General features: G+C 39.5%; 1 protein-coding gene across 6 annotated transcripts in view, besides 4 other annotated features; it reads left to right on the forward strand.

Annotated features, from left to right (window-relative positions):
• DNAH9 (dynein axonemal heavy chain 9) overlaps nucleotides 1–27,860 on the forward strand; it is a 371,279-nt gene that overhangs the window by 49,012 nt on the left and 294,407 nt on the right. For all 6 annotated transcript variants that reach the window (XM_011523703.3, NM_001372.4, XM_017024292.3 and 3 more), the window contains 5 exons: nucleotides 3,588–3,843; nucleotides 5,280–5,521; nucleotides 17,352–17,487; nucleotides 21,583–21,779; nucleotides 21,889–22,313. In XM_011523703.3, the coding sequence (XP_011522005.1) occupies nucleotides 3,588–3,843; nucleotides 5,280–5,521; nucleotides 17,352–17,487; nucleotides 21,583–21,779; nucleotides 21,889–22,313 (1,256 nt within the window). The remainder of the gene's footprint in view (nucleotides 1–3,587; nucleotides 3,844–5,279; nucleotides 5,522–17,351; nucleotides 17,488–21,582; nucleotides 21,780–21,888; nucleotides 22,314–27,860) is intronic.
• Nucleotides 20,469–21,410: an enhancer, noted in NCBI's record as "OCT4-NANOG-H3K27ac-H3K4me1 hESC enhancer chr17:11571267-11572208 (GRCh37/hg19 assembly coordinates)". NCBI's record gives its function as "activates a minimal SCP1, AML or CMV promoter by ChIP-STARR-seq in primed H9 embryonic stem cells {active_cell/tissue: H9 hESC(primed)}" and the evidence as "EXISTENCE:reporter gene assay evidence [ECO:0000049][PMID:30033119]".
• Nucleotides 21,411–22,351: an enhancer, noted in NCBI's record as "OCT4-NANOG-H3K27ac-H3K4me1 hESC enhancer chr17:11572209-11573149 (GRCh37/hg19 assembly coordinates)". NCBI's record gives its function as "activates a minimal SCP1, AML or CMV promoter by ChIP-STARR-seq in primed H9 embryonic stem cells {active_cell/tissue: H9 hESC(primed)}" and the evidence as "EXISTENCE:reporter gene assay evidence [ECO:0000049][PMID:30033119]".
• Nucleotides 21,411–22,879: a biological region, named in NCBI's record as "BRD4-independent group 4 enhancer GRCh37_chr17:11572478-11573677".
• Nucleotides 21,680–22,879: an enhancer, noted in NCBI's record as "BRD4-independent group 4 enhancer chr17:11572478-11573677 (GRCh37/hg19 assembly coordinates)". NCBI's record gives its function as "activates an origin of replication core promoter dependent on BRD2, P300/CBP, MED14 and CDK7 cofactors, and independent of BRD4, by STARR-seq in HCT116 cells {active_cell/tissue: HCT116}" and the evidence as "EXISTENCE:reporter gene assay evidence [ECO:0000049][PMID:35650434]".

Here is a 27,860-nt window from a genome sequence, read left to right on the forward strand (position 1 = left end):
GTGTAGTGTTTTATTAAGTTGTCCATGTTCACATTTTTCACTAGGGTTGCTCAATATATTTGCTTCAATTTTGCACAACAGGAAGTACTACAAAAGATCACCAATCATTTGGTAACAAACATAGCCCACTGGGCCTACCTTGAACTTACCATGTCTGAAGGCCATTGACTAGATGCTGGAGGGCCAACCAAGTGCATATAAGACTTGGCTCCTGCCCTCAAGGAACCCACGGTCTAGTTGGGGGTCACAACCTTAACATGCAAAATTTTATCTTCACTAGATGGCATATGGTAAATCCCAGAGGAGTGGCTTTGGAAATAAGACTCTAGATTAGTGGTTCTCAACTGGTGGTGATTTTGTCCTCCTGGAAACATTTTTGTTTGTCAAACTAGGCGGGAGTGCCAATGGCATTTAGTGGATAGATAGCAGGGATACTGCTAAACTTCTTGCAATGCACAGGACTGTGTACCACCACAGAGTTACTTGTCAAAAATGTGAATAGTGCTGAGGTTGAGAAACTGTTTTAGATGATCAGAAGGATGGAAGACCAGTGGGGACCGTAGCAGCCACAGAAAGTTTAATGCTGGAGAAAAATGATAACTAAAGGTTAGTTGGTTTCAAAAATAATATTACTCAGGTTGAAAAAAACTGTATTGGTCACACTAAGCTAAAAGCAGTCACCTACATCTGCCTTGATGGCGTATGCTCCAGGAATGCACTATAGATTGAGCTGAAAACCAAGCTGATAGCATATTGGTGTCTTTCAAGAAAATTGCAATTTAAGTAGAACATTGCTTCCTCCTCTGCAATCAAAGTCAACAAGGAATATAGAGAATTCATGTCTTCACTTTGGCAAGACGTGAGTCTGTTTAACTTACTGAACTCCTTGGATCAATTTCATTGGCATTCACTGTGAGCAATATTGAATATTAAATGCCTAAAGAGATGAATATCTGGATTACCAAGTAGGCCACAGTTTCCATGTTGTAATATAGTAATTAAGCCCTTGAGATAAGTCCTCAGTATAAGATATATTACTATATAGTAATTAAGTCCTTGGTATATAACCATACTTGGTCATGTATTGAAGATGGACCAGCCTCTGTATACTCCAAGGACAAGGACCTTATCTGCCTTAATGTGTAACACATAGGGCACACTTTATAGATGTTTGCAGGCCATAGAAGGGAAAGGAGGGAGGAAAGAAGAAAAAGGGGGGTAGGGATAAATATTAATACCTAAACTATAATGTGAGTTGATGGGGGACAACTACAAGCTTAACAAGTCAAAGAAGAACACCATCACACCTTGACATACAACTTCAAGCAATGTGGCCAAAGCTGGGCTATTAAGAATGAACAGGGCCGGGCGTGGTGGCTCACACCTATAATCCCAGGACTTTGGGAGGCTGAGGTGAGTGGATCACCTGAGGTCAGGAGTTCAAGACGAGCCTGACTGACATGGAGAAACCCCATCTCTACTAAAAATACAAAAAATTAGCCAGGCGTAGTGGCACATGCCTGTAATCCCAGCTACTCAGGAGGCTGAGGCAGGAGAATTGCTTGAACCTAGGAGGCAGTGGTTGCAGTGAGCCGAGATTGCGCCATTGCACTCCAGCCTAGGCAACAAGAGCGAAACTCCATCTCAAAAAAAAAAAAAAAGAATGAACAGTAACACACTTATCTTATTAGTCTAGAGGGACATGATCAGAAATTTGCCCCTCTGGGGACAGGATAAGAATTGTATAGGTTAAGTTTTTCAAATTTATGTAAATCATTTAAATTATTTAAATGTCTTATTGTTGGGCATTTACATCATTTTACAGTTTCATCAGTCTATATTTCATTGATTCTAGGAGGCATCTTTTTACATATTTATATCTCTGAAATTGGCATGTTTTTAGTTTAATAGACTGCATGTTTTTGTTTTTTCTTTTGTTGCGTATAAAATAATAGTGAATCTTACAATTGATGACATCTTAAACTGGATAAAGCATGGTATAAATAATGCTACAACAAATATCCCTAGTTTTGATTGTATGCATTCCTGATTATTTCTTTAGGATAAAAGTCCAGAAATGGAATTTCTGGGCTAACGGGCATTCACATTTTGAGACTTTTCATGTATATTATCAACTTGTTCTTTAGAAAGATGAAACTCAGTCATTTTCCTGCCAACAAGATACTGTTCATTTCTTCAAATAGTTTCCAGACTGTTGAACTAAAAGAAAAAAACTCAATGTTGTTCAATTTGCATGTATTTGATTACTAGTAAATGTGAATTTTTATCATATATTCATTACTCATGTATATTTATTCTTCTTTGAATTGCTTGTTCATGTCCTTTGCCCACTTGCTAGTGGAAGTACCCTCTCTTCCTGTGAATTTGTTAGGATACTTAGGAAATATGTGACAGATACTAAGAAATCTGCTCCAAAAATTTTGCCAGTTTAAATGGCCAAATATGTTGGCCATTTTATGTTGATATTTTATGCGCAAAAGTTTTTATGTTTTGTGGTTTTATGTTTGGAATGACTTTCTCTACTTCCCTATTATATTAATAGCCCCACATCTTTCTTTTAATTATTTTCTTTTCACTTTTTACAGTTAAATTATTAATATCTATCTTGAGCTAGAACTAGAAGACTGAGTCCATTTCCCCACAAAATGGTTAGCATTTGTCTGAATGCTGAGTAGGGTTTGCCCACTAGCAATAAAGAATTGACCCAGAGTACTGGAAGGAGAGCTAGGAGCCAGGTGTCTTCATATGAGGGGGAGATAGGGAGAACCTGGGGCCATCTGTTCATCACTTGTACCTATGCCCATCAGTCCTCATGGGTTCAGACAGAAACATCAATAAATAAGGAAGGATGAAGAAGAGAGTGCCTGGAAACCCTGTTTCATTGGACAAATCTTTCTCCTTGGCTTCTCACTTCTTCAGTTGCTGCTGAATTTGGGACCCCACAGAAGTTCAACGCAGCCTGGATGAGTTCCATTTCCTGAACCCCTAGCATGTTAAGACACAAGGAAATGCCAGCAGAGAGTTACAGAAGTTGTGGGATATTCCAAATGATTACATTGAATAACTAAAGTTTTATTATGGGCACCTCCTCTCAATCCTGCCAGTGTCTCGCTATAACTGTTTCATTTGGAGAGAATGCCAGAAGTCTGAACTTGAGGCTTCTCATGAATGTTGGTAGCCCAGGCCAGATGATTCTCCTCCTTTAGGCCACCACCCTTGGATGGGAACTGGCTGGGCCCCTATGAGCCCATCATTTCCGCAGCCACATTGTCCAAAGCACAGAAGGCAGAGCCCTCCCCTGCTATCACACTTGTCTCTGTTCTCAGGTTTTCCTCTTCTTTATGATGTATAGATTTAGGAGCCTTGTTTCTTTCCGAGACATCTTCCTTCTGCCTGATACTTGATTTTCCTTTTCTGAGACTAGATTTAAGAAACTGATAGGAGCAGAACTTAAGAAAAGACCCAGAAGATCTTTGGGCCTCCTGGGATTGTCCAGTCTTTGACCAATGCTGCAGATTATTCATTATCACTGAACGACAGACACTTGTGTTGCTTCTTTTCTCCAGCTGATTTCAGTGCTGAAAGAAATGAGCTATCTTGAACCCAGAGAGATGAAACACATGCCTGAGACAGCAGCAGCCATGTTCTCCTCCAGGGATTTCTATCGGCAGCTTGTGGCTAATTTAGAGTTGATGGCAAATTGGTACAACAAGGTTATGAAAACTCTGCTGGAGGTGGAATTTCCATTAGTGGAGGAAGAGCTGCAAAATATTGATCTCCGCCTCAGAGCAGCAGAGGAGACTTTGAACTGGAAAACAGAAGGTAACAGGGCACCATCTGAAGTCTGACAAAAACATGGAGATTCGAGGATCTAATAAAGTTCATAGAACCTCCAATTATTCCCTGGTAATCTTATTTGGGGTTGAAACATAAGTCTGTCTTCTCCTTTGACACATATCCAAGCAGAGAAGGCAAGAAGGGTTGGTATTCCTTTTTTTCCTTTTCTATGGATATAGTTGATAAATTTAGAAAACCTTGTTGCCATGCATGTTGGGAGGCTCAGAAGTTGCATAAGATCTCCTACAGTCTCCAGCATATATTGGGTGCTCCATGAGTGACAGCTCTTACTATATTATCTTTGTTATTTAATTTTCTTAACTAGATTGTAAGCATCTTAAAGCAGTATGCATTGACTTCTCTGGTATCTCTCAATTCAATACACTTTCATTGGCTGATTAATACGCGCAGGGTACTGTGTGACAAATTAGATTTGAGGTGTATGGGACATGGTCTCTACCCTCAAAGAGCTCACATTTAGTGGGGACAACAGACAGATATACAACATAACTTATACAGAGCCATATGATGACTTTCATGAAAAGCCATCATAGAGGTAAAAATGAAGTGTGATGAATAGCAGGAGAGGGATTCACAGGAGGGAATCACAGGAGAGGGAGATTAATTCGAATTAGGGTCCTCAGAAGTGTTAAAGTTTGAAAAAAAAAGATTATAGTTGATTCATGAAAGTCTTAGAATGCCATATTAAACAAGTTAGAACTTTATTTCATATACAAGAGGAAAAGACATTTTCAAAATTTAACATGATGAAAGTGCTTAAAACATTAAAAGAAAGATTAACCCAAATAAGGTCATCAAGTCTCACTGGTGTTTGGATATAAGATTGCATTCCCTAGCAGCTGTACCAGCTTTTGTGTGCTTGGTAAGTAAGCATTACCTCTTTCTCTTCCTCCATAATCAGGATTATGGTAAGGGTAGGCTTTTTTTTTTTTTTTTTTTTTTTGAGACAGAGTCTCGCTCTGTCACCCAGGCTGGAGTGCAGTGGCACAATCTCGGCTCACTGCAAGCTCTGCCTCCCGGGTTCACGCCATTCTCCTGCCTCAGCCTCCCGAGTAGCTGGGACTACAGGCACCCACCACCCCACCCAGCTAATTTTTTGTATTTTTAGTAGAGACAGGGTTTCACCGTGTTAGCCAGGATGGTCTCGATCTCCTGACCTCGTGATCCGCCCACCTCGGCCTCCCAAAGTGCTGGGATTACAGGCGTGACCCACCGTGCCCGGCCAGGGTTGGCTTTTTAATACAACTAGGAGGGAGAATATTCTGACGATAATGAAGTTACCTGTGTAGAAAAGTCTTATAACACTCGCAAGTATTAAATCCCTGTCTTTCATAGCAACTAGCCCTTTAGCTATGCCACTGCAGGCTATTTCAATTAATTATGTTTCTTTTGGGGAACAGGCATTTGCGATTATGTCACTGAAATCACCAGTAGTATTCATGATCTTGAACAAAGAATTCAGAAAACTAAAGACAATGTGGAAGAGATCCAAAACATCATGAAAACATGGGTGACTCCAATATTTAAGACAAAAGATGGAAAAAGGGAATCCCTTCTTTCTCTGGATGATCGGCATGATCGAATGGAAAAATATTACAATCTCATCAAGGAATCTGGCCTTAAGATCCACGCCCTTGTTCAGGTAATAACCCAGCCACTCAGGCGCACATACTACGAGTTTAGGGAAAGCATCAAAAAGTGTGTTTGGATGAATAAGTGATTAGGACAGTCAGTAAGTGCAGTGTCTTCCGAAGACAAGGATAGAAGTTTAGGCTGATAGCAAAAGACTAAAGCTGATAGACTGGGCAAATGAAAAGTTGCATTTTGGTATCAATGTGTTGAAATTATTACTATCTTCATGGTGACAACATTTAATTGTCACATGACTTCGGTCTCACACCTACCCCCAAGGGAACAGAAGAAGATGACAAGGGCAAAATTCCAAATTATCCACTGCAGTAACCATCCCCATCCCGGCTTGCCCACACAACATATTGTGGTCCTCCAGCATCATCCTTATAACCCGGCTCCGTAGAGCCTAAAGAAATGAAAGACTACCGTGGTATCCCTAACTGTGTGTGATAAGAGGAAAAAATGCAGAGTGCTACACTTCATGCTGTAAAGCTCTGCCCTGCATTAGTGGTCAGGGAAACTTTACGTCCCATCATCAAAGACTGAAGCTTCCTTGTGAACAATGGGAAAGGATTATAAATGGCCACCAGCTCCAGCCCTACGCAAGTAGCTATAGGGCCATGTCTGACAAGTTGACTCCTGTGGAAAGTCACAAGTGAATCACAGTTGTTATCTGTGGATTTTCTGTGGTTTGAAGCACAATAAAAATGTTGAGCCTTAAGCACTAATGATTACCAGAATTAAGATAATTATCCCAATTTTATCTTTGAGAGTAAAGAGCTGCTCAAGTTGAAGAGTCCCTCAAGTTGATTTAATTTTTAACCCCTTCTGTCCCCACATCCAGTAAATCAGCAGCTGTTGTAGAACCCAGCCATCTGCTTTTCATTCGTCTTTCTTTCATCCAACTGTTCATTCATCCACTCATTCACCCATCCATCCATCAGCTGTATTTCCATAGCTATCCTGGGCACTGTATCGAATACCAAGAAAATGTAAGATATAGTCCCCGCTTTGAGGTAGAAGAAAACCATCAAGCAAAAAAAGGAATTACTTAAGATTTTAAAAGTTTAAAATCGATCTAGGCCGGGCGCGGTGGCTCACGCTTGTAATCCCAGCACTTTGGGAGGCCGAGGCGGGCGGATCACGAGGTCAGGAGATCGAGACCATCCTGGCTAACACGGTGAAACCCCGTCTCTACTAAAAATACAAAAAAATTAGCCGGGCGTGATGGCGGGCGCCTGTAGTCCCAGCTACTCGGGAGGCTGAGGCAGGAGAATGGCGTGAACCCGGGAGGCGGAGCTTGCAGTGAGCCGAGATTGCGCCACTGCACTCCAGCCTGGGCCACAGAGCGAGACTCCGTCTCAAAAAAAAAAAAAAAAAAAAAAAGTTTAAAATCGATCTATCATCCATCTATCGTCTATGTATCTATCTATTGATGTATCACCTATCTATGTGATGACAAATGCTCAAATCCATGCTCTTGAAAGTCAGAATGAGAAAAAATTCAGACAAATCACAAAATCAGTGAGACAAGCACAGTGACCTAGAAAAAAGTACATATTGTAACATTTTAATTATCCAGGGGTCAACCAGGAAATAACCAAAAATGGCCACAAGCCAAAATACTTATCACAAGAGTCTCTAAAAGTTCAGACACTTTAATAATAATTCTTACTATAACACAATAATAGTAGTTGATATTTATCTAGTATCTACTATACACTACCATACAGTGCCAGGCACTGTCCTAAGCATTGTCCATTTCATGTAATTCTCATGAAAATCAGATACTTTCATTATCATTTTATTGATAAGAAAACGAAGGCACAGACAGGCTAAATTAATTGTCTGTAGCTGCCCAGTTAATAGGAAGCAGAGCTGTCTGACTGTAGCTCTGCATTTATCCAATATATTACACAACCTCCAGGGTAGTCATAAAGGTCCCTCAGGTCAAATACAAAACTTAGTAATTAGGCCTTAAATAATGTTTGCCTTTTGATAATTTAAATATTTTTAGACAAAAACCACTGAACAGAAGCTCCACGAACAGAAGACATTTTTATCTTTTTCTGCTAATTGGTACATAGGCACCCATCACCCAAGCAGTGTACACTGTACCCAGTGTGTAGTCTTTTACCCTCCCCCACCTCCCACCCTTTCCTCCGAGTCCCCAAAGTCCATTGTATCCTCCTTATGCCTTTGCCTCCTCATAGTTTAGCTCCCACTTATGAGTGAGAACATACAACGTTTGGTTTTCCATTCCTGAGTTACTTCACTTAGAATAATGGTCTCCAAGTCCATCCAGGTTGCTGCAAATGCCATTATTTCATTCCTTTTCATGGCTGAGTAGCATTCCATGGTGTGTGTGTGTGTGTGTGTGTGTGTGTGTGTGTAGAACTAGATAAAAGATAAAAATTTAGAGAAAAAGATAAAAATTTCTTCTGTTCATGGAGCTTCTGTTCAGTGGTTTTTGTCTAAAAATATTTAAATTATCAAAAGGCAAACATTATTTAAGGCCTAATTACTAAGTTTTGTATTTGACCTAAGGGACCTTTATGACTACCCTGGAGGTTGTGTAATATATTGGATAAATGCAGAGCTACAGTCCCCATGTATATATATATACACACACACACACACCATGTATATACATAGACACACACACACACACCATGGAATGCTACTCAGCCATGAAAAGGAATGAAATAATGGTATTTGCAGCAACCTGGATGGAATTGGAGACCATTATTCTAAGTGAAGTAACTCAGGAATGGAAAACCAAACATTGTATGTTCTCACTCATAAGTGGGAGCTAAACTATGAGGAGGCAAAGGCATAAGAATGATACAATGGACTTTGGGGACTCAGAGGAAAGGGTGGGATATATATATATATATACATATATATACACACACACACATACACACACACATACATATACATATCACAATTTCTTTATCCACTCATTGACTGATAGGCATTTGGGCTGGTTCCATATTTTTGCAATTGCAAATTGTACTGCTATAAACGGGCCTGTGCCCAGTATCTTTTTCATATAATGACTTCTTTTTCTCCAGGTAGATACCCAGTAGTGGGATTGCTGGGTCAAATGGTAGTTGTACTTTTAGTTCTTTCAGGAATCTCCACAGTGTTTTTCATAGTGGTTGTGCTAGTTTACATTCCCATCAGCAGTGTAAAAGTGTTCCCTTTTCATCACATCCACGCCAACATCTATTTCTTTTATTTGTTTGGTTATGGCCATTCATGCAGGAGTGAGGTGGTATTGCATTGTGGTTTTGATTTGCATTTCCCTGATCATTAGTGATGTTGAGAATTTTTTCATATATTTGTTGGCCATTTGTTTATCTTCTTTTGAGAATTGTCTATTCGCATCTTTAGCCCACTTTTTGATGGGATTGTTTGTTCTTTTCTTGCTGATTTGCTATAACTAGATTTTTAAAACAGTGTACCCAATAACTGTCTATGTCACTAATTATCTTCTATGATATCATGCGTAACGTTTAATTGTGTGGATGCACCAGGATTTGACTAACTCATCCCACTGTTGGATATTTGGGTACAGTTGGTTATTCATTTATTAAAGTTGTAGTATAATATACATGCAGTACAACGTACAGACAAAAAGTATACATAGAGCTCAGTGAGTTTTTACAAATGTATACACTCAGGTAACTACCACAATACAGAACGTTTGCTATTACCCTAGAAAGTTCACCTGTCCCTCTTTCCAGTCAATACATCCCCATTCTCCTGCGAGCCTCAATCACTGATCAGCTTTTTGTCAATATAGAGTAGATTTGTCTTTTCCTATAAATGGAATTACGTAGCAAGTTCTCTTTTGTGTCTGCCTTTTTAAAACTTAGCCTAGTGTTATTGAGATTTATCCATATTGTTGCATTTATTTCGAGTCTAATTCTTTTTATTGCTAGAATTCCATTGTATGAATATAACAGAATTCATCCAGTCCCCTGATGATGGTCTTTGAGTTATTTCTAGTTTCAGACTATTATAAATAAAGCTTGTATGTACAGTCTGATATAAGTTATTCCATGGACATATGTTTTCATTTCTCTTGAGAACTGCAGGGTCATCAGTAGGCATATGTTTAATGTGTGTAAGTAATAGCCCAGCAGTTTTCAAAAGTGATTGTGTAGTTTATACTCCCAGTGGCAGTGTAATAAAGTTCAGTTGCTCTACTTCTTCACCAAATTGTGGGTTTATGTTGTGGTCTTTTAAATTTTTACCATTTTAGTCAGTGTGTTTTTGTATCTCACTGAAATTTTAATTTGTCTTTCCCTGAAGATTTATACTTTTGAATATTTTTTCATATGCTGATTGGCCAATTATATGAATTCCTCTATAAAGTGTCTAAGTGTTTTTCTCATTTTAAATTGGATGGTTTATAGTTCTAGCAATCGTTTACAGCTTCTGGTTACACATCTTTTGACAGATATGTGTGTTGTGAATATCTTCTCCAAATTGGTGGTTTACTTATATTCTTATTGATATATGTTGATGAGAAATAGTTTTAAATTTTCATGTTGTGTGATTTCCCTTTTCTCCTCTTGTGGTTAGTACTTTTGAGTCCTAAGGAAACTATTTACTCCAAAGATTGCAAAGATATCTTTTATTTTTTTTCTTTTAGAAGTTTTACAGTTTTAACTTTTTTATTCAGGAGTATTATCTGTCTTGAATTAATTTTTGTTTAGGAGGTTACAGGAATTGAGTTCATTGTTTTCCATAGTAACATCTGATTGTTCCCATACTATTAAAAATAACTTTCCCTTTTGAATTTTTTGGCACCTTTGTTGAAAATTGATTAATTGTATAAAATATTAATAAAAAATATATATGGTGGAAAATACCAATGCCACTTGTTCTTGATTATTGATCAAGAGAAAATTGATTATCAGTAAGTCTGAAAATCAGGTTCTATATGTCCTGCAATTCAGTTTTTCCTTTTCAAGGTCATTTTGACTAGTATAAGTTCTTTACATATCCACATAAGTTTTAGATTCAGCCTGCCAATTTCTAGGGGGAAAAAGGCTAGATGTGATTTTGATTGAGATTACATTAAATCTGTAGATTAATTTGAGGAAAATAAAGACCTTAACAATATTGAATATAGCAGTTTATGAACCCGGCATATCTCTTCACTTAGTTAAGTCTCTAATTTTTCTCTGCAATGCTTTGTAGTTTTAGTGTAGAAGTCTCACACATTTTCCATTAAATCTAGCACCAAGTTTTTTATGTTTGCAGTTCTACAACAAATGGAATTGTTTTATTAATTTCATTTTCCAATTACTATCAGGTAGTGTATACAAGCATCATTGATTTTTACATTTTGATATTATATTCCGTGATCTTTCTAAATTTATTAGATGTAGTAATTGCTTTGTAAATTTAGGATGATGATCTATGTAAATAAGTCATTTGCAAATAGAGACAATATTACCTCTTTATTTCCAATTTTTTATGTCTTTTTTTTTCTTTTTGGCCTTATTGCTCTGGCTAGAACCTTCAGTATAACGTTGAAGTGGTGAGAGTAGAAATGCTCGCCTCATTTCCAATTATATGGAGACACATTTGGTAATTCACCATTAAATTTTTAGCTGTAGGGTTTCATGGATGTTCTTTGTCAGACCCAGGAAGACCCCTTTTATTCCTAGTTGACTAAAAGAGTTTCATCATGATTAAACATCGAATTTTATCACATGATTTCTCTGCATCTCCTGAGGTGGTTATATAATTTTACTCCTTTTTTCTGTTAATGGGCACTTTGTTCTTTTTTTTTCAAATGTTAAACCCAAATTTGCATTTCTGAGATAAATGCATTCGATCATGTCATATTAATCTTTTCATGTATTATAGTATTTGCTCTGATAATTTTAAAAGATTTTTGTACGTGTGTTTAAGAATGACATTTATCTTCTACTTTTATTTTCTTTTGATGTTCTTGTTTCGGTGTTAAGATTATGCTAGCCTCATAAAATGAGTTGGGAAGTATTTCCTCTTTTATTTTCTGAAAAAGTTTGTGGAAGGTTGGTCTTAACTCAACCTTAAATATGTGATAGAATTCACCAGGGAATACTTCTGGATATGGATGTTTCTTCTGGGGAAAGTGTTTGATAATTATTTCTTAGATAGATGAAAGACTATTTAGATTTTTTGCCTAACACCTTTATTAGTTTTTGCAAGTTGCTTTTTCTACAAACGTTTTCATTTTATCTAAGTTATAAAACTTACTGGCAAAAAAAATTGTTCATAATTATTTCTTATTATCATTATGTGTTGGCAGAAGAGCTGAGGCAGGGCTTGCTTGTCTGACATAATGTAAAAGAGTCTTGGAACATGTCCTGCTTCCAGGGTCTAAAACCCCTTGTGGCCTATGGAACACCAAGCTCTGTGCCAAAGGGTGGAAGGCTGCCCTGCTGCACTGCAATCTAAGCCCAGGGCATAAAACCCCTTGTGGCTGGGAGAGAACCCAGGCATCAGGGCATAAAACCCCTTGTAGCCTCTGGAATGTGTCCAGACTCACTGGCCCCTTGCTCCTTGCTCTCCCAAGATCATAAATTCATTGTATCTTGAATTAGAAGAACCTGTTTTCCCTTATCTCAAGTAGCAGAGCATATGCTAAACCGTCACAGCTACGCTTGATGCACCACTACCTTTCTATCCTCACATCCTCATCTTTCTACCCCTACATCAGCACGTCCTCACCACCTGCTTCTTTGTTTGATTACCAGTAAATAGTGTGGGCTCCCAGAGCTCGGGGCCTTCACAGCCTCCAAACTGGCGTTGGCCCCCTGGGCCCACCCTATGTACTCTTAACTTGTCTTATCTCATTCCTTTGATTCTGCTGGACTTCGTAGCCCCCACGACCTGGTGTTTGGTCTGATTACCCCAACATTATGTGTCTATGGGATCTGTAGTGCTGCATCCTTTTTCATTCCTAATATTGGCAATTTGTGACTTGTTTTCCTTGGTCGGTTTTGCTAGAGATTTTTTCTTTTTCTTAATTTTATAAATCCTTTCAAAGAACCAAATTTTGATTTTGCTAATTTTCTCTATTCATCTATTTTCTAGTTTATTAATTTATGTTTTTTAGTATTTCATTCAAGTTACTTTAGGGTTAGTTGCTTATCTGTTTTTAGCCTGTTAGGGTATAAACTTAGGGTCTTGATTTTAAGCCTTTCTCTTGAATATGGGCTGATGGTGATACTAGTTACCCTTTTAGTAGTGCTTTAGTTTCATTCTACAAATTTGATCTACCTCATTTGCATTGTTATTCAGTTTTAAATGTTTCTTTTTTTTTTTTTTTTTTTTTGAGACAGAGTCTTGCTCTGTCCCCTAGGCTGGAGTGCAGAGGTACTGTCTCAACTTACTGCAACCTGCGCTTCCCAGGCTCAAGCGATTCTTGTGCTTCAGCCTCCCAAATGGCTGGGATTATAGGGATGTGCCACCATACCCAGCTAATTTTTGAATTTTTAGTAGAGATGAGGTTTTGCCCTGTTGGCCAGGCTGGTCTGGAACTCCTGGTCTCAAATGATCCACCTGCCTTGACCTCTCAAACTGCTGGGATTACAGGTGTGAACTACCATGCCCAGCTCTTGTTATAACTTATTTTACTCAATGGTCACTTTGAAGTTTGTTGTTTAATTTCCATATATTCAGAGCTTCTCTGGATATCTTTAAAAATTGATATCTAATTTAATTCTATTGTGCTCAGAGAAGATACTCTGTAAGCTTTCAGTCTTTGGGAATTTTCTGAGACTTGTTTCATGACCCAGAATATAGTCTATCTTACTGAGTGTTCCTTGGAGACTTGATAATAATGTTTATTCTTCTTTTGTTGGGGGTAGTGTTCTATAAATATAAATTAGTTCAAAGCAATTGATAGCATTGTTGTGATCTTTTACAGGCTACTTGTTCTATCAATTATTGAAGGTAGAGTGTTAAAATCTCCACTTACAATTTTGGATTTGTCTATTTCAATTTTAGTTCTGTTAAATTTTTTTGTCATGTGTTTGAAGTTCTGTTAAGTTCTGTTATAATAACTATAAATTTCACATTTATAATTATAAATGTGTAACATTTTAGCACATTTATAATTATTACAACTTCCTGATTAATTGACCATTTTATCATTATGAAATTCCCTTTTTATTTCTAAAAATACCCTCTTGTTTTGAAATCTATTTTTTTCTGATAATAATATAGCCTTTCCTATCTGATTCATTATTCTTACTTTTTGTATTTTGCATCTTTTCCCATCATTTTACCTTCAACCTATTTGTTTCTTGGATTGAAATTTCTTGTCTTAATAGTCGGCATATAATACAAATTTATTTTTTTAAGTCTAACAACTCTGCCTATTAATTGGAATGCATAGACTGTTTACATTTAATGTAAGCATTTGTATGGTTGAATTTAGCTCTACTAAATTTTGCTTTTTGTTTTCTATTTGCTTCATTGCTTTCTTGTTCCTCTGCTCTTCCATTGTCACCTGCTTTTTGGGTAACTGTATATTTTTTAGTATTCTATTTTAATTTCTCAATTGGCATTTCAGCTTTACCTTGTTGCATTACAATTCTAGTGGTTGTTCTAGGTTTCAGTATGCATCTTCAGCTTATCACAATCTACTTAGACTTTTCCTACAGAAACCTTGCAAAAGTGTGGTGTAATTTAACCTCTCACCTATTTTTTATACTGCTGTTGTGTGAGATATTTATATATATGCACACACACATAATATATATTAATAGTAAAATATATGGTATCTATTAATATGCATATTGAGCCCCACAATGCAGTGTTATAGTTTTTACTTTTAAAATTTAAGAAAAAATATTTACAGTGTTTTATATTTACTCACATACTCATCATCTTCAGGCTTGTTATTCCCTTTTATAGATATAAATTACCATCTGGGATTATTTCTCTTCAGCCTGAAGAAATTTATTTACTACTTCTTCAAGTTCAGGTCTGCTTATGACATATTCTCTCAGTCTTTGTTTATCTAAAAATGTCCTTATTTCATCTTTGTTTTTAAAGGACAGTTTCATTTGGTACACAATTGTGTTTATAGTTTTGCTTTCTTTTGGAAGTTATTTCATTATCACCTACCCTCCAATGTTTCTTATAAGAAGTCAGTCATAATTTGAATCTTTGTTTCTCTATATGTAATGTATTATTTATCTCAGGCTGCTTTTACTAGATTCTTTTTTAATCTTTGATATTTTTTCAGCACAGTGATAATATTCCCAAGTTGGTCGTCATTGTGTTCTTCATGCTTGGAGTTTGTAAGTTTCTTGAAATTCTTTTTCACTAAATTTTGTGAAATTATGATATTCTTATCTACTAATTTCAATATCTGTGTTATTTTCTGAGTCTATTTCTTTTCTCTTTTTTAATGAGACAGAAGTTTAATTTTCTCTCACATAAAATAGGTTTAATGAATAGGCTTTCTGGGATTAGAATGACAATTATGAAATCAGAGACCTACCCAGATTATTTTCTGAATCTGTTTTTAGTGACTGTTTTCTCTCCTGGTTAAATGGCACCTTTTTCTGCTTGTTTGTATGTCTAGTAATTTTTTTATTATGTGCTAGACATGTTGGAGGCCACTTGAATGCCACTTGAGAATCTGGATTTTTTTCCTTTAAAGAGTTTGATTTTTGTTTTGGCAGTCCACTAATTTGCTGATGGATCACCTTGATCCTGTTGAGGCTCGCTTTTTTTTTTTTTTTTTTTTTTTTTTGAGACGGAGTCTCGCTCTGTCGCCCAGGCTGGAGTGCAGTGGCGGGATCTCGGCTCACTGCAAGCTCCGCCTCCCGGGTTCACGCCATTCTCCTGCCTCAGCCTCCCAAGTAGCTGGGACTACAGGCGCCCGCCACTATGCCTGGCTAATTTTTTGTATTTTTAGTAGAGACGGGGTTTCACCGTTTTATCCAGGATGGTCTCGATCTCCTGACCTCGTGATCCGCCCGCCTCGGCCTCCCAAAGTGCTGGGATTACAGGCGTGAGCCACCGCGCCCGGCCCGAGGCTCGCTTTTTAAGGGTCTAAAGAGGACTTACTCTGGAATCGAGCAGCTCTAACTTATGGTGTTTCCAGGGTCTCAACTGAATTCCTGGGTTATCTGCAAGGTTGCTTCATTATTTCTAATAGAACCCTAACATCTTCCAACACTATATGGCCTACATAATTTCCATTCAGCTTAGAGCACTCTGCAACTATTCTTTACCAGAGGCTTGCTCTAAACATATATAGCTGATTCCTCAGTCAGACTCAAGAGGAGCCAGCCCCGACAGCAGCACCAAACTCCAAATTCTGTCTTCTCTGCCTATCAGCAGGGATGCTGTAACTAAGCTCCACTAACCTATGCCATAGTTTGAAAAGGGCCTTTGGGTAGAAAGCCAGGTGGTGGTGAGGCTCACCTTGAGTATGTCCCTTGTTTCAAGGATCACATTCTTGTTCTGTCTGTTATCCAGTTACCCAAACCAATTAATTCTTTTATTATAATCAGTTCTGTGTTTGTTTGCAGAAGACCAAGTACAATCTCACTCTCTGCTGTTGTGGTTAAAATCAGAAACCTGAACTATTTCTTCCTACTTCATAGAAAATTCCAACACGTTTGTTTCTTAGACCGCAATAGATTTGAGGCAGTAAACAAAGGTGAAAGATATAGATATTATATTGATAGCTTGACAGTAAGAGAAGATAGAACAATTATACAAAGCAGTCATAAACACTAGAAGTGATTTAATGTGGAAGCAAACAAGCATACACATCTTAATACCCGAGAGAAACTCTGTCTTGTCACTGTGTTGTGATTTGCATGGTGATGGACTTTAAGTCACAAAGAACATCTTAAGTCTACTTAAGAAAGAAAGGTGTAGGTATTGCATCTTAGAAATTGTAGAGTTGTGTTACCTAAAAGCAGAATCATGAGATTGTTTAAATCCAGGGAGATTTATAACATGGCAATACACCCTGAAGAGGTAAATATGAATCATCTAGAAAAGTTACGTCTGCAAGTTAGTTCCTGATTTTTCTGAAGATATTAGATAACTGGAAAGTTGCTGTAAAAAGTGTTAATACTGCAAATGACAAAGAGTAAATGGGATGTCTGTACTTGGCATTGCTGGAGCATTTAGGCTTCCTTTCCTTGAAGCCCAAACTTTGTTACCATGGTGATGCTTGGATGCCAATAGGTCAAGAGTGTATCATGTAAAAGAGAAGGCGGGGAGGAAGGAGGGGAGAGAGAGAGAGAGAGTGAGAGAGAGAGAGAGAGAAACATTTTTTATTTATTTGTGTGCATTTTCTAAATCACTCAGTAGGATTGAATGCCAACTGCAAAACATTTCAGCTCATTTCTAAGAATTAACCAGAAAATGCTTTGCTTCTTTGAACCTGAAATTTTTATTAAACCTTGAATCTTAATACTATCTACCCTTAGAATTCCTTCCTCTGCCTACCCTCACTTCTGCCCTGATGCAACTTCCTCCACAGTATATCAACCAGCACTTAGGAAGCACACACATTGCATCCATCAGCATTGCTTCTGAGAAGCTGGGCCAACCCCATCCTCCTTCCTCAGGGACAGGTTGTCCCCTATATTACCGTCATGGACTAACTTTGCCTTCCTTTCAGTCAATGGTAATACTCATTAGGCAGAGTGGATTCGATACATGTGTAATAGCAAATTCTCCACAAGAGAGTTTTTTTCTCCATATGTTGTTTTTATTTTGACTGTTGATTACACCAGTTCTTTCATGCTATTAAACGAGGTTTATATCCTTTCTTCTTCCTTTTATAGGAAAACCTGGGTCTATTTTCAGCAGACCCAACCTCCAATATCTGGAAGACTTATGTTAACTCTATTGACAATTTGTTGCTGAATGGATTCTTTCTTGCCATTGAGTGCTCCCTCAAGTATCTTCTGGAAAATACTGGTACTTACTGGCTTATGGATGTGGGTTATTATTGGAAAGATAACAACAGTAACATTTGTTGAATTATATTGAAGAGCAGCTGAGTGCTCTGTGACTTTTCCCAAAACGTTGTAGACCTTTTGTGAATGATGCACAGGAAAACAGAAAAGGTATCGAACTTCTAAATTGTTCAAAGACAAAAGATTTCTGACGCTTAAAATTAGATAATAAACCAGGCTGTAAGACAGTGGTGCACATAGCAAAAGTATAAAAGTGAATTCACTCTAAATCAAGCTTCAGTAAAGAGGAGTGACCACGTTAAGAAGCAGGAAGCACTGTTAGCAATAAAGGCAGAAGGCTTCATCCAAGCTTGACTTATGGCAATGGGTGGGGGACATTCTGTGCCTTCAAGCTTCATGTATTTTATCTCTGTAGACTTTTGAGAACACAAGGAGATTGTGTCCGCCAGGTTAAATGGAAGAAACAGAAGTTTTTCTGAGTGAAAGAGTCACACAAGAAGTAGGGGAGGAGGTAATTTTCAGAAGAAAAAGAAATGTGTAGAACACAATGGGCATTCTTTGAAGCTTTTAAAAAACAATTAAAGGCTTTGAATTTATAGTGGATAAACTGGGGTAAGGTACACAGAGTGAAAGATACAGAAAGGGCTAACCTTAGCTAGTGAATGATGAAATGGACAGGGCAGAAGAGTTCAGGACTAAAAGTCGAATTAAACCTTCACATTCTGGCAGATTCTGAGTTGCTTAGCAAATAACCTATAGAAGGATTTGTCAAAATGGTAAGGCAGAGGTAAATAGTTTGAAGCCAGAGGATGGAAGTAAGATGAGAGTTTTTAAGAACTCAAGGATTGAAATGAAATACTGATGTAAAATAAATAGTCCAAGGCCAGTGTCCAGATATCCAGCCCATAAAAGAGACTACATGCAGACACCTACGTTGAGAATCCAGAGAGAAGGAAGGCCCAGCACTGAGTGTAGCCCCAATGGCCATCCCCATGGTCTTGATAGGTAGAATGGCTGAGGTGTTAGGCATGGTCTTTGCTTGCAGGATACAGGGGTGCTCCAAACTAAGGAAATCAACAACAGGACTCAGGAAATCCAGCATAGTTAGCAAGGTAAGAGATCATCTTCTGGAGCCTGGGAGCAACAAGCCAATGGGGCATGGAACACGGGCACCAAGTCTGGATAACTGGCTCTTACGGACCAGCACTGGTGGTGTCCACCTTAGTGAACTGACCAAGCCTCCTCTAATGCTGGAGGTTCAGGGGGCTTCATCACTAAGCCCTCCCTAGAGAATCTAGGAAGATACCCCAGCCATACTTGGGTGCAGGCAGTGCACTAGAAGTGGTGCCTAAATGACTTCATCCTTGACCAATGGCTCTCTGGTTCTCCTGATCTGGGCTATCCGATGTGCCATGTGTCCACTTGTGGGAAGGACAGAGTGGGACCAGGGGATGGAGAGAAGAGATGGCAGTCTTTCTCCAAGATTACCAAAGTTTCCTTCGCTTTGTGGAAATAGGAGGACAGGGGAACACATTTTCTTCACAATATAGAGGCCCTTCGAATTCTCCTTCGAACGGGTGGGAGCTGAATTTATCAGCTGCCTGATCTGAAGCACTATAGATAAAATTTGAAAGGCACTGGTTATCTAAGGGGAAGTAAAGGAGCCTAAAGGGGCCTCTGAGAAGAAAATCATGGTGACCCCTTGCAGTGACTCAGTTGGGTGGCTTTGTCATCCTAGGTCCACCTTACCATTTTGTCTGGTCAAACCCACAATAAATGAGGGTAAGGCCCTGGAAAATGGTAAAGCCACAGGATGGAAGGAACCTGTCCACCAAACTGGAACACTCACCTTGCACTGTTAACCTGGAGGGGAGTAGACTTCTTTGACCTTTGGAGTCTAGAGCAGAGCAGGGGCTTCTATGACATTGTTGAGGGCATTCCCAAGGCTTGGGTTGGTTTCCCTGTCATCTCTCAACCCAAACCCTGCATAGGTTATATGCTTCCCACTCCATAGAGAAATGTCCCTCCTCCTCTTACCTAGTAAAATGATTTACGTGCACCAACACTGTGGAACCAGGACAATCTGCTTTGGATGATAATTACATTGGCGTTACATCCAATGTAGAGATTACAGTCCCATGTCAACATATGGGACAAAAATCTCATACAGTCAAAACATTCTGTCAAGTCTTTTGAATTCCGTAAACTATATGCAACTTTGTCTATTAATTTATAAGTACATAATATGTATATTAATGCAGAATATGTCATGAGTATATATATAAAGCAAATTATAGGTGATTTTATAAGCTATACTATTTTATAAACATAGTAGTTTTTATAAACTATACCATCTTATAAACTTATAGTAGTATAATTACTTTGTTATTGGTAAACTTGTGTTCCCTTAAGTCAAATATTGGGACTCTCCTGAGTCCAATCTTGTGTTCCCTTAAGTTAAATATTGGGACTGTCCTGAGTCCAATAATGAGAATTTGTCATCCCTCCAGTTCTGAAGGCAAGGCCCTATTCTTACGTATTTTGAGTATACTGCAGTATTTTACTTAGGGTGAGTGGCTAAGCTGTGGTAACAAAAACTCCATCAACAATATGGTTTGAAGGACAGAGAAGTCTACCCTTGAAAGCAAGAGTCAAAGGTGAGTGTTCCAGTCTTATGGGCAGGTTCCTTCTGTCCTATGGCTCCACCATTCTTCAGGGCCTTGTCCTCATTTCTGGGGTTGAACTGACTCACTGCCATGTCCAGGCTCTAGTCTGGTAGAGGAGAAGGAGACTGAGTACAGAGAAGGATCACCTGCAGTCTCAAGAGTCCCAGCCCACAAGTGGCACCATCATGTTGTCCTACATCCACTGGTGAGGAAATTTCGTTGCCACACCTGTCTGCAAGCAAGGCTGGGAAATCTGGTCAAATCCCAGTTATTACTCTATTTCAAGGGAAGAAGACAACGATGGATTTCAGTGAACAGGCTCTGCCACCCACAGTATCCAGCCCATAACGGGCTCCTAAATATAACTACAATTGAAAAGTCATATAAAAATAAGTGGTTATTGATAAAAACTTTAACCATATATCTTGTACCTGGAACATCTTGCTCTGTGTTGTATTTTGATTTAAATTTAGCAAGGCAAGTTGACCTAGTAAGTAATCAGGGATTTGTTAATTATTCATACTGTTTTTAAAATTTTTATCACTACAGGACCACAGCAATAAATTATTTCTTAGAAAAGGATAAGGAGCAGAATAGGCAGAATTGTAATTTCTCTTTGTGGTTCATGTCTGTACATCGTTGACAAGCCTGCCCCTGTTCACCTAGAGTGATAAGTGGAATTGTATGGCTTGTGCCTAGGAAGAAATCAGCTGCTTCCAAGAAATGGGCTTTGAAAAATCAACCTCTTGTTGGCTGGGCGCGGTGGCTCATGCCTGTAATCTCAGCACTTTGGGAGGCCAAGGCGGGCGAATCACGAGGTCAGGAGTTTGAGACCAGCCTGGCCAGTGTGGTGACACCCTATCTCTACTACAAATACAAAAATTAGCCGGGCATAGTGTCGCATGCCTGTAGTCCCAGCTACTTGGAAGGCTGTGGCAGAAGAATCTCTTGAACCCGGGAGGTGGAGGTTGCAGTGAGTCAAGATTGTGCCACTTCACTCCAGCCTGGGTGACAGAGTCAGACTGCATCTCAAAAAAAAAAAAAAAAAAAAAACAATCAATCTCTTCTCAACCAGAGGCTGGACTGTCCCCCAGGAGGCATTTGAGAATGTGGAAGGGGAGTGGCTTGGGCTGATCAGTCACTAGGATGTGCTCCATGAAGACAAGGAAAGTAAATATCCTGCAGTACCCAGGAGAGCCCTGCAGCAGAATGGGCCTATTCAAATGTCAGTGGTTCCCCCATTGAGAAGCACTGCAAGACTATCACCCTCACATTGTATGGGATGTAAACAAAATTTTACATTTCCGTTTCCCTACAGTCTAGCAGCCTATCTAAAGAAAAGCATTGCTCTGGGTGCTTTTAAAACAGTCCTCTACTTTGTCCATTTTATCCACTCTTTGTTTTGTTTGCTTGTTTTCTGTGTTTTTCAGAGTGTAAGGCAGGACTTACCCCAATATTTGAAGCACAACTGAGTCTAGCCATCCCAGAGCTAGTTTTCTATCCGTCTCTGGAGTCTGGAGTGAAGGGGGGTTTCTGTGACATTGTTGAGGGTCTCATCACCAGCATTTTTAGGATACCATCTCTGGTGCCACGGCTTTCCCCACAAAATGGCTCTCCTCACTATCAGGTACTGGAGCTGCAGCCATCCTGCCCTCCAACTGTGTCCCGTCCAGCCGAATCTCGAACTTCCTGCCACACACTGGTGTAACCTGCCTGCCGTTGTCTCGCTTCCCCAGGTCGACCTGGACGGTATACCAGATTTGGCAAACATGCGGCGCACACTCATGGAGAGAGTCCAGAGAATGATGGGCCTCTGCTGTGGCTATCAGAGCACCTTCAGCCAGTATTCGTACCTCTATGTGGAGGACCGGAAGGAGGTTCTGGGTCAGTTTCTGCTGTACGGGCACATCCTCACTCCGGAAGAAATTGAAGACCATGTGGAAGATGGCATCCCAGAGAACCCTCCCCTCCTTTCTCAGTTTAAAGTGCAAATCGACTCCTATGAAACGCTCTATGAAGAGGTGTGCAGGCTGGAACCCATCAAGGTGTTTGACGGCTGGATGAAAATTGATATTCGACCCTTTAAGGCATCTCTGCTGAATATTATTAAGAGGTGGAGCCTCCTGTTCAAACAGCATCTTGTGGACCACGTCACTCACAGGTACAACAGTTGTTTTCACTTTCTTCCAGCATGCTAGGCTGTGAGGAACACCATGTTTTTAAACCTTTTTTATATTTTTTCCCCATGGGTATGTTGGTTAAATTAAAGATTAAGACAGCTGGTTAGAGGTTCTAGGCTTTTGGACACCATGGTAACTTAAGTCCTGCCCTTTTCTTTGTTCACCAGATAAGGCCTCTTTGTTTTGTTTTCTGTTTCATGTCCAGTGTGTGAAAGGCACGTGGTTAAGTGGTAAGGAATATTAGAGACAATAATAGCAGATCCAAGCTTCCTTCACAGCTCCATGCAATCTCTTTAAGCTTGGGAAGGAGAGAGGGTCTAATGGGCCTCTTTGTTTTACTTCTACCTCTTATTCCTTGTCTTGGATTATCCAGCTGGGCAATATGGATGTCACTAAAACTCTGTGCTCCTGACTGCTTGTCTGTGCCATTCTCACTGTGCAACAGGCTGGATATGAAATTCTGTCTGTCCTACTGTGACCTAGACCACCCAGCCCAGCACTAGGCTCTCTAAGCCAGAGCATCATCCTCTGAATGAATAATCCATGTAGTCAACAGTCCCCCGGTCACTTTACCTTGGCCTGGTCCCCAGATACCCACCACAATTAGAATCTCGACCCCCTTCTCAGAATCCCATTGGGGACCACCAGTCCCTCTGCACAGTGATTGCCCTTTGGAGTGCTGGATGAGACTGCAGGGAGGCCAACCTGACCCCCTCCTCAGTTTAGTGCTGGTTTTGCTTAATGCTGCCACTGCCTTGCTCCCTGATCTGGAGCCATAGGCAGAAAGAAAATGGTAACATTGAGAATTTTATCTATCTACAAATAAACTTTGAGAGATTTTCCAAGGGTAATGTTCAACCACCCTAGGAAACCCCAAGAACGCTTTGTGGGGATTTTTTTTTTTTTTGAGATGCAGTTTTGCTCTTTTTGCCTAGGCTGGAGTGCAATGGCACGATCTCTGCTCACCACAACCTCTGCCTCCTGGGTTCAAGCGATTCTCCTACCTCAGCATCCTAAGTAGCTGAGATTACAGGCATGTGCCACCACGCCTGGGTAATTTTGTACTTTTAGTGGAGACAGGGTTTCTCCATGTTGGTCAGGCTGGTCTTGAACTCCTGACCTCAGGTGATCCGGCTGCCTTGACTTCCCAAAGTGCTGGGATTACAGGTGTGAGCCACCGTGCCTGACTGGGGATGTTTTAAATAGGGCTTCCTGTGTATTCTTCCACTTTCATGAAAGCTTTTCTTCCCTGAGGAACTCAGAGGCAAGAAGAGGAAATGCTGATGGGTGGTAGGACTGTGACAGATGCCCCAGGATGGAGCACTGTTGGAGGAGACAGCTGCTTTGTGGTCCCTCTTCATTGCTACGTCTGGTAATTCAAGGATAAGCAGCATGTTTCAAAATGCATGTTTTATTATTCAGGCACAGCAAGGCTACAGAGCAGCAGATGACTCCCATAAAAAGATAGGTTATTACTCACAGTTCCCAGGAGGACAGTTTACAGCAGATAGATTATTACTCATAGTTCTCAAGAGGACGGTGTATGGCATACAGGGCCACAGTGGGGAGCTCCAGCGTCCATCAGGAAGCAGAGGGGGGGCAGAGAATACAGGCAGGAGCCTTTGTTGTGATTTCTGTGGGAAGGAATAGACAAGACATGGCAAGCAGGCTCAGGATTGGCGAGTTTGAACATTTCAGTAGCTCTGGGGCATAGAGGCTATTCCAAATTGTCTGGGACCTGGCCTTGGGCTGATTAGGGCAGGGGGATAATGGCCCAGAGCATGAGAGCCCCATAGAGGAGGTGGTTGGACTCTGGAATAGTTGGTTTGCATATGGAAAGTGTGCTCACGAGCCAGCCACTGCTGTCTCAAGGAATTGCTCAGCCCTGTGCAGGGAAGTCCCTCTAGAGTTTCTAAGACCCCGATGTGAAAGGATCAAAAACACATGGTTGATACAGGACGTGGTAACAGCAGCTGCCATAGGCATCAACCAGGCAGGCTTTAAAGATCTAATGGGGTTGGTTTAACAGGATGAACACACAGTAGAGCAGCTAGGAGGCCTGACTTTTGTGTCCTTGGATCCCTGTTTCCTCACCTCTGAAAGAAGACAGCCCAACTGGATTCTTCTAAGGTGTCTTCCGTCTTCTAGCTTTAACAGTTGGTGATTCTAGAAACTGGCTATTGTGTTACACTTTAGAAGAAGATTTTATTGTATTCTGGAGGATTCGATAAAATAGAAATAATAAAAAAATTATTATTGTCTCCTCTGTGCCATGTAATTATGTGATTTCCACCTTTCCTTAATAGGTCGGGATGAATCCCACCTTATGTTGCATTTTAGATACTTCATTCACTGCCAGAAGTCCAACCCCCTTTTATTACGTAAATTCTCATCTCATTCAGCTCTTCCTGCCCTAATCTGACTCAACCCCTACCTCTGCACTTGCAAAGCTTTCCTGTGCCCTTGCACCAGACCTCAGGATCTTACAGCAGCAAATGCCCACTGTCCCTTTCATCTTGTCTCATCACCGTTTTGCTCCAACTGAAACCTGGCTCCCTTCTGAGGACACTGCTTTCCCTCCAGCCCTCCCAAGTGGAGGCTGACTTTTCTCCTATATCCCTCTTACCAATAGGCCTGCAGGTGGGTAAGGTATGGTTGCTCTTCAGTGCTGCTTCCAGACCATTTCACCACCATCTTCCCTCAAAATCACCAGCTCTGCTGACGTGAATTCTCAGACAATACCAACTGCACTCTGCCTTGCTGCCATTAGTCCCTCTTGCTCACCAGTGCAGATCTTAGCGTCTGGCTCAGAGGTTTCCCTTCCCACCCTTCCCACTTTCTGCTGATAGTCACCCGCCATGACCCAGCATCCACAGAATTTCCATCACACTGGCTCTTACATCGTTGACCTCCTCCCTCCAACGCCCTTCACTCTACCATACCTCTGCTACCTACATCTCTTCTGCATTCTCAGTGGGGCTCAGAGAATGATGGGGAAGTAATTGCTCTGCCTTCAGAAGCTCAGGTTGAAGCATTCCACTCCCTGGCCTCCACCTGTTATCTTTCCACCTCACTTACTTGGCAACACTGCTGCACAGAATTCTTCAAACCCATCAGGATTTCCAATTCACTGACTCCCCTGCTTTCTCAGAGTCTATCATCCTTGGTCCCTGTTCCCTCCCATTCCCTCCCATTCCCACCTTGTAAAACCCTGACTGTTTAAACTCAGTGCTCCACACCTGCTCCTGAGCAATTCATCCCTGATGAAGCAAAATCAAACCAGTCTTCTGACCAGTCCTACATTTCATTTGTGAACATAAAATTCAGGTAGGCCCTTCACATTTTCCTAGACACTTCCCAATTCTTTCAGACTCCTGTTTCCTTCAAATATTTTCTCTGCCTTTATGACTCTGCCTCTCATTTCACTGAGAAATTAGTATCAATCATGAGAGAACTAATTCACCTTTTCACCAACAAATCTACCAACATGCCTGCATTTGAAGCTGGATATTCAACCACCTCTCCCATGACTGTGGATAAGCTGTCCTTGCTTTTCTAAATCCAGTCTCTTTCCTCTCACCTTAGGACTTACCTTCTTAAATATTCCCTATCTCCAACATTATCAATTCTTTCCTTTACACATTCTTAGTAGCATGTGGGCATATTGTCATATTTGCCACATTGAAAAAGAGAAAGGAGTATGACCCCACAAGCCCTTCCAGCTACAACACAATTTTTTGTATGCACTCCTTTACAGCAAAATTTCTCAAAAGATGTGTTTATATTTGTTTTTTTTTTTTTTTTGGTTTTTCACCTCCCATTCTCTCTCTACAAAAAGTTTTATGATGAAATATAACATACATACAATTTAGAGAACAATATTAAAGAGAATATGTGAATTTGCATCATCCAGCTAAGAAACAGAACATTGGCTATATTTTAAAGTTTAAATCCTTCTCCCTCCTTGCAAGATGTTACTAGGGTCCTAAATGTGACATAATCCTTCCCAGGCTTTTCTTCATCACTTTGTGTATGTGTGTATGTATATGGATATATACACATGTGTATGCATATGGATGTATACATATGTATATGCATACATACATACCTATGTGGAGATGTGCATTAAAACTTCATAAAAATGATATTATTGTATGCCATATATTTTTCTGTGTTCTATTTCTTTCACTCAGCATTATGTTTGAGATTTATCCAGGTTGACAGTATAACAGTAGTTCATTTTCCCTGTCGTACAGTATTCCCTTAGATTAATGTACCACAATGTATCTGTCCATTCCATAGTTGTTGAACATTTGGGTTGTTTCCAGTGGTTTTGCTCTTCCCTAAGGACACTGCTTCCCTTTTAACAATGTTGCTGTAAGAACTCTTATATGTGATCATGGAATGGGCAAGCATTCCTCTAGGGTGTATACTTAAGAGCGGAATTGCTAAGTCAAAGAGTATGCATATAATGCCAAGCTCCTTCCAAGGTAGAGACAGCCATGGGTGAAAGCTCTTACAGCCTAGCATCCTCCCCACCTCTTAGTATTGATAAATTGTTCAATCCTGGCCACTCTGGTGGGAGTGTAATGGTATCTCACTGTGGTAAATATTTTGCACTACTCTGAGTATAAAAAGGTCCTCATCTTTTTATGTTTTTGGTGAGTCATTATGTTTCCTTTTCTCTGCCTATTCATATCTGTGGCTCATTTTTCTACTGGACTTTTTTTTCCTTTTTGAAATTATGATTAGGAATTACTTACATTTTCTATATCTAGTCCTTTGCTATTGTATGTCTTGCAAATGGAGTCTACCATTTTGTGACCTGTCTTTTCACTCCACTTATGGTGTATTCTGATAAACAAATTCTTAATTTGTGTGGCCAAATGTGTCCAACTTTTCCCTTATGTTGTTCTTCTTTTGTCTTGTTAAATAAATCCATTTTTTGCCCTGATATCCTAATGATACCCTCCTGTATTCTCTTCTAAAAGTTTTAAAATTTTATCTTTCACATTAAATAGTCCCTTATCTAGCACTCATGAATATGAAGAAATCCTAATTACTGTAGCTTAGTAACAAATCTCTATATCTGGCAGGGCAGGTCTCCACCTGGATCATTTTCATCAAGAATATCTTGACAGTTCTTGGTCCTTACCATTTCATATAAATTTTAGTCATCAGTTTGTAGAAGAAAAAAATCTTTTAGGATTTTAATTATATTTGTAGTGACTATAGATCAATTTGAGTAGAATTGATGATATTGAATATTCTTGTCCAAGAACATGTTGTCTCTTTGCTTATTTACATCCTTTTTATGTCTTTCGGTGAAATTTTGTAATCATTGTCTTTAAAAATTTTGCATATTTTTGTTCAAATATATTCCTCAGTATTTTGTTTTTCAGTTCGTAGTATAAATAATATTTTAAAATCATATTTTCTGTAGAAATTGAATTGATTTTGTACATTGATTTCATATCACGCAATCCTGCTAAATTAATTTAATAATTTTGATAATTCATCTGTACATT

Source organism: Homo sapiens, chromosome 17, assembly GCF_000001405.40.
Source record: "Homo sapiens chromosome 17, GRCh38.p14 Primary Assembly".
Taxonomy (NCBI): Eukaryota; Metazoa; Chordata; class Mammalia; order Primates; family Hominidae; genus Homo; species Homo sapiens.